The sequence below is a fragment of the Homo sapiens genome, chromosome X (assembly GCF_000001405.40).
Source record: "Homo sapiens chromosome X, GRCh38.p14 Primary Assembly".
Taxonomy (NCBI): Eukaryota; Metazoa; Chordata; class Mammalia; order Primates; family Hominidae; genus Homo; species Homo sapiens.
In genome coordinates, this window is record NC_000023.11 from 67,529,210 (window position 1) to 67,544,020 (window position 14,811).

Below are 14,811 nucleotides of genomic sequence, written 5' to 3' on the forward strand. Positions count from 1 at the left end.
ATATACACACACATATACATATACATATATATAGTAAGGTAAAGGGACTTCAGTTCACAGAGCTAAAAATGATTAATCTAGAGTTCCAACTCATGTCTATCATTCTACATTCAAGGTCCTCTCTATTACATGCTGTACAGAGTGAGCAATATGAGCAAGTGCAATATGAACAAAAGTAAGCATTGTATATTTTTTAATTGAAATAAATTTCATTTCCATACATTTGGAAAAATTCATGGTACATTACTGGGATCACTGGCAATATGATCAGCCAACATTTATTGAACATCAATTGTTTGCTGGATAGTAAGGATATATAGAAAATATTAATAATATTAGGCATACCCTGCTAAGTGCCAAGTGAGTGGTAGAAGTGTTCTAGGCCTTCTGAGAAGGACAAGAGCACTGTGAGTTGGAGTGGATCTGGTATGCTTCACAGAAAATGTAAACTTTGAGCTGAGCCTTGGAAGACAGGTAAGAGTCTAATAAAAGGAGTAGGAAGAGGAAGAAGGGCATTTCAAGGAGAAGAAATAATGTGAACAAAAGCTTCCCAAGGTGCTGAAAAACCAGGTTGGGCATCGCTGGTTTTGGACCAATAGTCCAATACAAATACAAACTTCTGAACAAAATGTGGTAAGTGAAAACACAGCTGGTTTTAAGGATTTAAAAGAGTGATAAAAAGGTATGAGAGTGGGAGACGAAAGTCCTGAACTGAGTTACTGAAAGTGACAGCACTTTATAAACTGGAAAGCACAATGCACATAGAAGTGATTAAAAAATTATTGTTGTTGTTGTTATTGCTATCTACCACTGAGTAAATGATTTTATTTAATAATCATTGAGTTTCATCATTGAATGGTGGTTATTTCTATAACCCAATCAAAGGCATAACCTCTGTCCAGAAAGACTTTGAAAACAAAATATGCAAATTAAAAATTTTCTTTCATTTCAGTTTATTGGAAGTTTAGAAAGGCCTGAGGCAGCAGGTGGGTGACTTGAGGCACTGTAAATCCTTCACACTTAAGGTGAGCTTCTTGGAGGAAATGGGTTTGGGAAAGGTAAATTTTTATCAAGGAAAAATAAAGTTTGACAGAATGAGCCCGCAATATTAATGATTGTCTCTCACTTTGGACAACATTTTGATCTCTTTGGTGACTTGTATGCATTCATTTTCCTCTCATTCTGACTCTGGGAAATGAGGGGAACTGATATTGCAATTCTATATGAATGCAGTCTTGAGGGCTATGGAGCCAAGATGCCTGGGTTCAAATACCAGCTCTGTAAGTTCCTAGCTGTGAGAAGCTACACCTCTCTGAACCTCAGAGAGAAAGAATAATCCCTACTTTGCAGAATTCTAATGAGGATTAAATAAAATATGTATATATAGGGCCTCAGGTGTTCCTCAAATATAATTTCTTGTTTGCTTCCCTGACAATATAGAGCATAAGTTTGAGAGTCAGAGAAGATGTGAGTCCAAGTGAAGAAAATTAATTTATTCATTCAACAAATCGCAATTGAGTTCCTCCTAAATGTCTAGCTTAGTGCAAGGGGCCAGAGATAAGAGCAATAAACAAAGCACACAAGATCCTTACTTTTGTAAAGTGAACAGGCTAGGTCTTTTTGACATATACCTGCTTTGCTCCTGTAATATTTTATTCAAAAGATCCTCAGTTTCCTCGATGGAAGAATAGTCATTGCCCAACATACTTTATAGTAAAGTTGTGAAGATTAGATTAGATAACACACAGAAGAGTTCTTATGGACAGTATATTACTATACTGATGAAATTATTAGTAGCTGTGTTCCTATTTGATCCCAAGGGCAGGGGAGCTAAGAGGCATGGGTTGCTAGCTACAGGTACCAGAGACCATCTTATTATGGAATCCTGATCAGGAATCTGATAAGATTGAAGGATACGAGAATGTCATCAACAGCATTAGCCCAGTTGCTGGTGGTGTCCAGGCACTTTGTACAGCCAGGAAGGTGTACCTCTGTAATGGTGAAGGAGAAAACCTTTGTCTTTTAAGCCTCCAGTCATTCCTTCCTGTACTCAACTTTCCTGTTTTCCCTGACAGGAAGCCCACATTTTCATTGCCTTCCCAATGTTCTCCTTTTTCCCCCTCTCTAAGTCAATATGCTCTAAGGAAATGATCTGGTCAATTAATTCATATTGATGTGCCAATGACTACAAAAACTTTATAGGTGACCACTCCTAAGGAAAGGGGCATTGAATTGAAGGCTTAGCCTTACAACAAACAGAAAACTAATGGTAGTATTCTGGGGAATATCAATAAAGCTCAGGTTCCTTGGCAATCATACCAGGTGGGTGAAAGCTGTTGCCACTATAGGAGACTTACAATAGAAAAACCATAAAATGTCACAGCTAAAAGACTTTTCATATTATGTCCCCTAGAACAGTAGTCATTCATCTATTTTTCTGTAAAGGAAGAAGATGACGAAGTGTTTATCAATATCTCTGGAAATGCTGTTTAGCAGCCTCAAAACATAGACATTTTATGGATCATTGATAGGATTAAGAAAGAGCACAGATCTATTGATATACACAGAGAAACTCATCTCCAAATCTCACTAATAAGGTCCTCAGGCTGTAGTAGTTCTCAAAAATGTGTACTTTCTGACTCTGTAAATGAAATCTATTTATTTGATTGTCTTCTCAGAAAGTCCAGTTTAAGGAAACTATCCCTCAATTTTTCCAAAAGGAACCCCCTCATTTACATGGTTACTGAGGTCTAAGATGTTCCTACAATGAGATTCCACTCTATGGTGACAATTAATTGGTGAAAAGGTGGACATCTGATCCAAGCTTGTACAATAAGTCCTCACTTGGACTTTTGGACCAAGAGATTTCAGCTTAGTTTGGTTCTTAATTTGAACTTTAGCAATGTTAGCAATGGCCATTTTCTCCCATTTGGACTTAGAATAAAGAAAGTGGTCAGTGGAGAGAAGACAAGACATGCCAAGAGAAGCAGAGAAAATGGAGGGAGAGAAAGAGTCCTGAGAGCATTGAGTCCCTATTCCAATGGCATCTGAAGCCCAGTAGAATACTTGTTCTGTGAGACATCTTTGTAGGCTTACTTACAAACAGATCCATAGGCTAAGTTATGACATTTTTCTTTTTGCTTAAGTGAACTCAACTGGGCTTCTCTTGCAACCAGAATTCCTAACTAATAAAACTCCATATTTATGAAAACCAAAGACAAGTCATTAATGATCTTTTACATTCACACAATCTTGCTATTATACAAGTATTTTCTTCTTTGATTTGTGTTATCACTTGTTCACACATGATTTTCTAATGGCAGAAGTTGTAGGCCAGGTGCTATTTCCATCGTTAAGAAACCTGTAGAAACTGAGGCACGAAGCAATTCAAAGATTCATCAAGGATCAATATCAGACCTAAAACACATATCAAGGTATTATGATTTTGGATTGTTCATGACTTTTGTTGTCTCAGTCCAGTGTGGAACATCTTGACTTTGAGCTAGTAATTCTCATGGATAAAGATGGCAGGTTAAAGAAGTCAAAATGTTTCCTCTAACCAACTAAAGCCAATGTCATAGTATTTGAGCACAGCCATTCTGAGCCCAAGGTGGTTGAGACATTCATGCAATATGGCATAGAGTAGTTAGAGAGCACAAGCTGTAGAGTCAGAAGATATCTGAATCTTGAGCCGCGCACAGTGGCATGTGCTTGTAGCCCCAGCTACTAGGGAGGCTGAGGCAGGAAAATTGCTTGAGCCTAAAAGGTCTAGTCCAGGCTGGGCAATATAGCAAAAGCCCATCTCTTAGAAAAAGTAAAAATAAAGAATAAAGAAGATGGTTGAATCTTGTCTTTATCATTTTCAAACTGTGTGGAATTGAGCAAGCCATTTAAACTTCATGAGCCTCATTTCCTCATCTATGAAATGAGAATAAAAATATCTTCTTGGAGTGGCAGCAGTAGCTGCAGTTGCAAGTGTCCAGGCTCTGGGCTAGGGCAGTGGTGGCACCATCTTTTGCCCAGGCAGATAGGGAGGCCAGGATTGGGAACTGGAGGATGCAGTGGACTATGGGAACAACCTGGAGTCTGAAGAACTGGAGTTTGAGAGTTGCTGCTAAAGCCTGAGCCTGAACCAGACCCCAAAAGGGGAAGCCCTGGTCCTGGATCAGGAGCCTCTGGCAGCCAGGATGAGAAAGAGGAGCCAGGACTATTTGTGGATGATCTGGGGTATGGTAGCATTGAGGACCCGGAGCTCAAGTAAGGAAGACAGAGGAAGAAGCTGAAAAGCTTCAGGAGCTACAGAATGAAGTAGACAAGCAGATGAATATAAGTCTACCTCTAGACAATGCTAGCCCAGTGATCATCCATTGAGGAGAAGATGAAGGCTGATGTCGCTTCCATCTATGTTGGCAATGTGAACTATGATGCAACAGCAGAAGTGCTGGAAGCACACTTTTATGGTTGTGGTTCAGTCAACAGCGTTACCATACTCTTTGGCTAATTAGAGGCCATTCCAAGGGGTTTGTATATACAGAGTTCTGAAACAAAGAGTCAGAAAGGACTTCCTTGGTCTTTCTATATAGAGAAAGAAAGATCAAGGTGATCCCCAAATAAACCAACAGACCAGGCATCAGTACAACAGACAGGTTTTCCAGGAGTCCTGGTTCCTGGACAACAAACTATGACAGTTCCAGCTCTCATTTCTACAGTGGTTTTAGCAATCGGCCCTGAGGTTGAGCTACAGGGGCCAGGCTAAAATAATATAATATTCCCCTTACTGAAAATGAAGTGTATATTGGGAAAAAGAGAAAGGAAGGGAAAATGAATTAGAAAAATGAAAAGCAGATGAAAAAAGGAAAAACCTCCCCAGCTGAACTCATAAAGTGTATTAGGATTAGATGGGGGGCAAAAGCTTTGAAAAGTCTAAACTGCTGTACATGTACCAGTTGTTCTGATATTTCAACAAAATAGAAGTCTATTCCATGAATGTTGAAAAATGATGACTTTGGTTCTTCACTTTGTATTATGAGCTTCTCGAGAGCATGTTTAGCACATAGTAGGTGCATTTTGACTAAGAGAAAAGGCCCACACACATGACATACAAATATCATTTAGTAGTCAGGATAACATAAGATCTAGAGCCAAGTTCAGGGGTTCCAATCCTGACTTTATTGTTTATTACCTGTATGACTTTCAACAAGTTGCTATATTCTCTGAGCTTCTCTTTCCTCATCTGTAAAATAAAAATAATAATAGTACCTTTCTAATAGGATTGTTGTGAGGATTCAGTTCATTCACGTAAAGCAGTTAGAAGAATGACTGAGATCATGTTCATACTGAGTTAGTTCATGTGAGGCTCTTAGAAGAATGGCTAGGCCGGGCACGGTGGCTCATGCCCATAATCCCAGCACTTTGGGAGGCTGAGGAGGGTGGATCAGCTGAGGTCAGGAGTTCAAGACCTGTCTGGCCAACATAGTGAAACTCCATCTCTACTAAAAAGACAAAAATTAGCTACGTGTGGTGGCACACACCTGTAGTCCCAGCTACTCGGGAGGCTGAGCTAGGAGAATCATTTGAACATAGGAGGCAGAGGCTGCAATGAGACAAGATTGTGCCACTGCACTCCAGCAGCCTGGGCGATAGAGCGAAACTCCATCTCAAAAACAAACAAACAAACAAACAAAAAGAAAGAAAGAAAAGAAGAGAAATGGCTAGCACATAGTCAGTGTATAATAAATGTTAGCTGCTATAATAGTCCATCACTTATATCCTATAATAGATAATAGAACCACAACCTTGTTATTCCTTGATAAGGCCCTTTCATTTCAATCTGAACACACAAGCTAAATGTCCTTGCAATATTGTACTCCTTTTGTGTCCATATGACTGTCCTGGTTTGCCATCTTTGACAGAAACTGCTTTTAACAGCTTTGCATCCAAGTTTTCTGGACACTGCCATAGTGCACACAGTTACATTTTGGCCAGCATTGAAAAGCGGGTGACTAAGGGATGATAATGCTGAATGGGAGACAAAGGGGCTATTTCTGATATGCTAGTATTTGATTGTTGTATTTGAATATGCTTTAGTCCCAGATTTCAGTTGATTCAGGAAATAATATAGCCAGAATTGGTATTCTATGAGAATGTAATCTGTTTTGGTCTGTTGAAAAATACTGTTTGTTTTTCTCCATGGCTTTGATCATAATAATTCAAAATTTTAGTTTACAAAAGCTTGAATCATCTATCTAAATAAAGTAACAGATTTTCAACTGACAAATACCAAAGCACTGTTTGTGACTCATTAGGTATAGGAATTCCTACTGATAACCCTGTACTTTCCAAAATATGAGAGAATAACACCCCTTCTTTTTATTAACTTACATTTTTACTCGGCCAGAAATTAAGGAAACTTCTGACGTTCACAAGTTGATTCATGATATTCTAAGTAGTTATCTGCCCTGGATCAGAGTGAAAGTAAGAGGGCTGGGGGCATTTCCTCAGGGGCTTCTGAGATATGTCATACTTCTCTGTTAGGCAAGTAGAGGAAGGCATTAGCAAGGAATTGTGGGATTCCACCTATAACACATCATCAGTGCTATTCCCTTGTGACTTCGCTGTCACCCATTCCCAGAAGCAGCTGCCAGGAAATGAGTACAAATAATTTGTCCTCAAGTCAAGATAGAGCCAGTCCAACCCTAACCAAAGTTTTCAGTTAGCAGCAAATAATTTGTATCTCTGGGGACCAGGGATCACTTGATGAGTGGGGCTAATTTCTTAAAACCCTGGTGTGGAAGAAATAATTCTGACAAAGGAGAATGCGTGCCCCATATTTCTCTGCGTCTGAATAGCTAAATGACCTTGGGTGAGTCACTTAAGCTTTCAGAGGCTCAGTTTCCTCTCCTGTGCAACAGAGATAATAGTGCATGCTGTGCTTCACTCCAAAAGTCTCTATGAAAATTGACTGAGGTAATACATGCAAATGTTCTTTGTTTACCACAATGTCCTGTACAAAAGTCAGGTGGTATCACTGCTGCCAGAGAGTGAAGGTGCGAAGACAGGGTGAAGGCACCCCTCCTCATCATTTGTATTATTTCACCAGAGAAGTAATACGGATATGACAGCAATCATTTAGTACCTTTGAATTCTACAGCGAGGTTCTGTTACTGTGAAAGATAGCAGTAGCCTCAATTGCATCTTTGGCCTCATTCTGATTTCCCCAGAATACTCCATTCTTAAAGGCCCAAAGGTGACATATGTTCTTTGACTGGTGGTCATTTTCCCTTTTGGCAGCTACTGAGTCCCACCTCAGTACCTGGTGGAGCCTAAATGAATATGAGCCAAGATTCCCAGTATTTTGCCATCTACAAATATATGTTTTGCAGCAAAGAATGCTGCCAAGGACTTTTCTAGAGTGGACTGGGATAGGGCTTTTTTCCTGGGGAAGAGTGAAATGTGGGTAGGGAGGAAGAGGGACCTTGCTAAACTAATTTTCAACTGTTGACCTCTGCTTCACATGTTTTGAAATCTTTTAAATGTGGAGTTTAAACTTTGAATCCCAAATGTTATCCCTGGCACCTGAACTTGGGGTCAAATATCCTTAGGCATTTTGAAAAGCAAATAGCAGTACACAAATGATACCGGTAATTAACTGTTGCCTAATGCCTGAGAAGTAATATGACAGTCAGTTTTGTGTCAAACAAACCAGGCTTCAACCTTTAACTCTGCCTCAATATTGTTACCTTTAAAATGGGGATAATAACAAACAATAATATTTCACTTGGAGAGTTATTATTACAATTACACAATATACATGTTGTCACATAATAGACAATTAAAATAATCTTTATTATGCATTTTCTTTGCATTCATCATTTTACTAGGTTTTTCACAACAAATCATCAAGAAAGAAGTTATTATCTCCATTTTAGAAAAAAAGTAAAATGAGGTTTAAAGTGGTTAAGTGATTAAGACAGAGGTCACATGGCATATAAATAAGAATGGAAATTATTTTTATTTTTCATCAGACGTAACTGTACAACTCTGTTACAAAATGCCTTGCTATAACAAAGATTCAATAACGTCCCTGCTTACCTAATGTCTGGTTCTTATATTATGGATGAACAGAGCACCACACTATAGCATCAGAGAGGTAGTTGAAGTAGAGTGGTAAGAGATCAATTGCTTTCTAATAGAACACCCAGATTCATAGTACGGGCCCTGCCTCAGATTAGCTGGCTGACCTTGGGCAAATTACCTAATATTTCTGAGCCTCAGTTAACCCCTCTATAAAGTAGGAATAAAACTGCTTGGTTTCTTATGCAAAAATATGTAATTATCAGTGTTCTGCAATGCCAGTATATCACAGTGGGTTCCTAGTAAGTTATCATTAGGAGTAAAACAGCAGAAGTATAGACGAGCCCCTCTCTTTCTTATACTACTTTTGTAACATATTTTAATTTAATTTTTTTTTTGAGATGGAGTCTTGCTCTGTCACCCAAGCTGGAGTGCAGTGGCATGATCTCTGCTCACTGCAACCTTCGCCTCCCGAGTTCAAGTGATTCTCCTGCCTCAGCTTCCCAAGTAGCTGGGATTACAGGCCTGCGCCACCATGCCTGACTAATTTTTGCATTTTTAGTAGAGATGGGGTTTCACCGTGTTGGTCAGCCTGGTCTCGAACTCCTAACCTTGTGATCAGCCCGCCTTGGCCTCCCAAAATGCTGGGATTACAGAAGTGAGCCAATGCGCCTGGCCGCATTTAATATTGTATACCTATATTTTGGTTAAACAAAACATGTAGAGCTCTTAGTCCCAGTGTCTAGCAGAGTGCCTGGCATACAGTGAAAATTTCCACTTATTTGTTAACAAATTAGAGAAATGAAGGAATGGCAATGCAGGAGGTGGGAGATACTGCCTGGTGGAGGAGAAAGATTTATTTCTATATCTATAGATCTCCATCTATAAAATTAGAATACATATCTGGTTGTGATAAGTATTTTAAAAGAGATAGAAATAAAGTACTATATAAATTAACTATGATTAATCAATCTAGAAAATAATTCCCAATATTGAATCCCAAAGAATTCAACATTTGGGCTGTCGTTTGAAAGATAAGTTGAATTTGGTCATGAAGGAAGAGAGGGGGGATACAATTTCAGTAAAAGGTAACAGCAAGGTCCAAAGACAGTCAGGTCTTCAGTAGTATGGAGTATATTCAGAGGGAGCCCAAGATGTCTGATGTGACTAAAAAGATTGGTGGTTGGTAGGAGGAAGAGGTGTGAGAAGAGGCTGTAAAGAAAAATTGAAACTTGATTGTGATGGACTTTAAAGGCTAGGCTATGGGACTTGGACATGAATCTGCAGGCCAGTGTTTGCAGACTGGCAGCCCATAAACTGATTCTTATCAACAGACATGTGTTGTTTGGCCTGCAGAGGTTTGGCCTGCATGATGATTTTAAACCATCTGAATTAGTAGCCATCATTTTCAAAAATCAAGAGATGCCACATTAAAATATGGAATGCTGCTGTTCTTGAAAATAATGAAACATCTGGAACATTGAGGCCACATTCCTGACTGACAGCAATCAGTTGGAGCTGCGTAGTGACTGCCCACTTTACATGGGGCATCTGATCCCTAGTCGATTACAGCTGCCACCACTTCCCTTTATCTCTCTAATACCAAGCTCTTTTCACTCATTTTTGTTACTTAAGAGATATTTGGGTTTGAAACCTCTGATGCAGGTAATTGAGGGTTATAGAGCAGAGGACAGATGCTATCAGAGTTGTCTTTTAAGAAAGAACCCTCTGTTCTCATTTTGTTGAAGATAGCCTGGAAGAGGGCAGCCAGGGGAGAAGTTAGGGCTGGAGCTATGAGAAAGGATAAGATGAGATGATGGCTTCAACATTGAGGACAGAAAGAATATTGAGATGAGAAAGTAGTCCATTATAAGCATCTATGCAAAGGAAATAGCAGATGTCCACAAATCAGCAGAGGCAACAACTCTGAAAGTTTATTCATAAGCCCCTCTTTTCATCTCCAATCCAGTTCAAATGTAATTATTTAAATTGTTCTTCACTCTCCTTCCTGGATCATGAATGAGCTCCTTAAATGCAGGGTCCACAGTGTCCTATTCATCAGTGAATTCCAAGTGCCTAGCACAGAGCCTGGCAAATAGTAAATGCTTAACAAATATTCGTTCAGTGCATGAATTGGAGTGATTCTCTACTTTGCTCATAAGTTGAAAAAAGGTTTATTACATACCTAAATATGCTGAAATCACAGGGCATTTGGCAACCCCCCAAAACCAAAACTCCCAGTTTGGAAACAGAATTTTAATTCTGTGAAAATAAAATCCATTCATTTATTCAAAAAATATTTATTAAACAATGACCATGTCCCACACCAGGCTGAGTCCTAAGGATTCAATGATGAACAAAAACCAACATGATTCCTGCTCTTAGGAAACATACAGTTCAGTGAGGAAAACAGATTGTGAGAAGTCCTCCAACAAATACTGGGTGCTATTAAAATATATTAAAAGGTGAGTGGGTGAGGGACTTGAGCTAGCCTAGGTGGTTCAGGAAGTCTTCCTGGATGTGCTGATATGCATAGGCATTAACTAGATAAATAGAGAGAAGGATGAACCAACATTGCAGGTAGAGGGAACAGAATATGCAAAGGCAGGAAGGATTATGGAGTCGTTGGAGGACCTGAATAAAGGCCAGTGTAAGTGGATCTCAGAAAACAGGAGGAAAGGTGTATGAGATGAGATCAGAGAGGCAGATCATGTGGGGTATGGTTAATGTTTTGGACTTTTCTATTAAGAGCAATGGGGAGACAGTGACAGGACTTAAACGGGGAAATAATATGACCAGATTAAACTTTCTAAAAAACCCTCTATGCAAATATATATTGAGAGTTAATTATTGACAAAGATTCAAAGGCAACAAAGTGGAGAGAGAATAGTATTTTCAAAAAATGGTGCCAAAACAATAGGACATCTATATTAAAAGTTGGGTATCTGTCTACAAAACTTAATTCAAAATGGATCACAGACCTAAATGTAAAACTGAAAGCTATACAACTTCTGGAAGAAAACACAGATGGGAATCTGTGTGATCTTGAGTTTGAAAATGATTTATTATATCTGACACCATAATCCGTAAGTTAACATAATTCATAAGTGAACAAAGTGATGAACTGGACTTCATCAGAATTTAAAATGTTTGTGCTTCAAAAGACACTGGTATGATAATGAAGACAAACTACAGATAAGATATTGTTGAATCATATTTCTGATAAAGGAATTGTGCTCAGAATACATAACTCTAAAACCCCCATAATAAATTACAAGTAGCCCAATTAAAAAAAAAAAAAGAGAAAAAATTTACAGTCTTCATCAAAGAAAGTATACAATTGTAAAATAAGCACATGAAAAATGCTCTGCATCTTTATTCATGGGAGAAATAAAAATTAAATGGGAAAGACACCTCTAATTAGAATACTAAAATTAAAAAGACTGACCATACCAAGTATTGGTGAAGTGGAAATGTAAAATGATACAATCACTTAGGAAGATGATTTGGAAGTTTCTTACAAAAGTAGGTGTATACCTACCCTGTGACTCACCCATTCCATGGCTAAGTATTTACCTGAGAGAAATGAAAGAATACATCCATACAAAGATGTTTATACAAATATTTATAGCAGTTTTATTTGTAGTAGCCCCAAACTGAAAAGAACCCAAATGTCCATCAAAAGTGAATGGATAAACAAAGCGTGGTACAGCAATGCAATAGAATACTACTTAGCAATAAAGAAGAATGAGCTAGTGATATACATAACAGCTTAAATGTACATCAAAGGCATTGTGCTCAGTGAAAGATGCAAGTAAAAAAAAAAAAGAGTACATGCTGTATAGTTCCATTGACATAAAACTCTGGAAAGTGAAAAACAGTCTATACTGACAGAAAGCAGATCATTGGTTGCCTGAGGAGGAGGAGTATAGGAGAGGTGGAGGGAAAATGTACAAAGTGGCACAATAAAAACTTTTGGAATCATAGATATATTCACTATCTTGATTGAGTGATGATTTCATGAGTGCACGCGTGTGTCAAAAATGATCAATTTATGCAACTTTAAATATGTGCAGTTTATTGTATATATCAATTATACCTCAGTACGGCTATTAAAAAGAAACCCTCTGGCTGCACAATGCAGAACTGATTCTAGGAAAGAGTGGAGGGAGGATGACCATTTACAGTGCTCCAGGTGGAAGAGAACGGTGCCTTCTGGAAGTGAACTAGGTTGGCAACAACAGAGATGAAATAAATGGGCAGATGTGTGAGATACTTAGGAAATAAAACCCGATGGTCACCATTTTCCAAAGGTCAGCTCATCCTGGCTTTCCAGAGCAAAGAGCTAGGGAAGACTTTATTAATAAATCCCTCTTGAAGTTGCAGAGGAAGCTTATAGCAGAAACTTACTCTCAACCTGACTAATCTGAGAGAACACCTCTGGTTCCATTTGATTACTAAAAAACTGCAAAGAACAGGAGGAGAAAGAAGAAGAAAGCTGGTACAAACAGTGAACTTATATAATATTAATCAATAATTGTCTCTTGTTCTTAAAAGCAATGGGAAGAAAATGAGATTTGAGCTGGAAGATCAGAGTTCAAAATCCAAATAAAGTATATGGCCCTAATATGCTTATAGTAGTTAACCTTTCCTGATAATGATATAATTGTTGACAGCACCATCTTTAAAAATAAAAATAACATAGTAATCCTTCAGATTTGTAGAATGCTTTCCTGTTTACAAGTTTGTTCTATACACATTATGTCTTTTAAATGACACACTAGCCTTCTGAGGGTAACTTATATTGGCAACAGTTTTCAGATGTGGAAACTGTGAAGACAATGTTGGTGATGTGGAAGCAACATAAACTTTGGAGTCTTTCAGACCCAGGTTTGAATGTCAGACTGCTTTTTATTCAGAGTAACTTCAGAGCATTATTTCTCACCTTAATTTTTTTTCAGGCCTCTTTGTGTCTATGTGTCCTCTTCACTCCTGTCCATTGTTCATTCAGTGATTTTTGCACCTTCCTTCACTGTTAGTGTGTAGACACATAGTTCTCCTGGCTCTGAGACCTATGTTAATTCCATTCTACCATCCTGCCAGCCCACTCAATTCCTATTGAGCAATGCTAGTTGAAAGTTGTGGTGGGATTAAATGTTGCAATGAGTATTCAAATGAGGTTGAAGTATCTACGCATTCTACTTACATATGGTGAGGTATATTCAAGGAAGGCTGTAGCCATTAAAATCTCAGGAAATAATTTTTCACCTCCTCAGGTGAAAGGGTCTTCAGGCCTTTGTGTTCTGGAAGGTTCATTTATAGCCATTTCCCAAATGACAATGCGATTGATGAGTCTAGAGTCTAGCTCAAATAGCAATGGACTGGAAGACTAGTTTAGGTTTTACTAATGTGGAACATAGAACAAATTATGTCCTTGTTTCAGCCTGTTCATCTGTGAAATAGAGCCTATCATATCCAGTCTTCCTTGCCTTTAGGTTTGAGTTACCTTCTTTGGTCAAGGTAAGTAAATGCCTATGATGTTTGGCTGTGCACAAGATAAAGCTACAACAAAGCTACAACCCATCTTTTCTCTGTAGAAGACTGCAAAAAGCAAAAGAGACCCAGGCAAAAATCTCGGAATGACTTTTGGAACAGAGAGCCTCCCCAGAATCAGAAGTCAAAGGAATTTAAAACATAGGGAGGCCCAGGGTCTCTACTGACATAAAGGAAAGATGTTTTCCTTATAGGTTTACGTTTACATTTTCTCTCTCTTTCCATTCCCACTTGCATCTCCACCTTTACACAGGGCTTATGGGACCTCCTCCACAAAAGAGCAGTTGCAGTAACCCACATCATCCTCTACGCCTGGCTGTCCATCAAGAGGCGAAAAGCAGCCCTATATAGGTTCTATCCTTGGATAGTTCCAGTTGTAAAGTTTAAAATATGCGAAGGCAACTTGGAAAAGCAAGCGGCTGCATACAAAGCAAACGTTTACAGAGCTCTGGACAAAATTGAGCGCCTATGTGTACATGGCAAGTGTTTTTAGTGTTTGTGTGTTTACCTGCTTGTCTGGGTGATTTTGCCTTTGAGAGTCTGGATGAGAAATGCATGGTTAAAGGCAATTCCAGACAGGAAGAAAGGCAGAGAAGAGGGTAGAAATGACCTCTGATTCTTGGGGCTGAGGGTTCCTAGAGCAAATGGCACAATGCCACGAGGCCCGATCTATCCCTATGACGGAATCTAAGGTTTCAGCAAGTATCTGCTGGCTTGGTCATGGCTTGCTCCTCAGTTTGTAGGAGACTCTCCCACTCTCCCATCTGCGCGCTCTTATCAGTCCTGAAAAGAACCCCTGGCAGCCAGGAGCAGGTATTCCTATCGTCCTTTTCCTCCCTCCCTCGCCTCCACCCTGTTGGTTTTTTAGATTGGGCTTTGGAACCAAATTTGGTGAGTGCTGGCCTCCAGGAAATCTGGAGCCCTGGCGCCTAAACCTTGGTTTAGGAAAGCAGGAGCTATTCAGGAAGCAGGGGTCCTCCAGGGCTAGAGCTAGCCTCTCCTGCCCTCGCCCACGCTGCGCCAGCACTTGTTTCTCCAAAGCCACTAGGCAGGCGTTAGCGCGCGGTGAGGGGAGGGGAGAAAAGGAAAGGGGAGGGGAGGGAAAAGGAGGTGGGAAGGCAAGGAGGCCGGCCCGGTGGGGGCGGGACCCGACTCGCAAACTGTTGCATTTGCTCTCCACCTCCC

At 39.4% G+C, this 14,811-nt stretch overlaps 1 pseudogene; it reads left to right on the forward strand.

The window, feature by feature from the left end:
- LOC100288853 (poly(A) binding protein nuclear 1 pseudogene) lies at positions 3,945-4,734 on the forward strand (annotated as a pseudogene).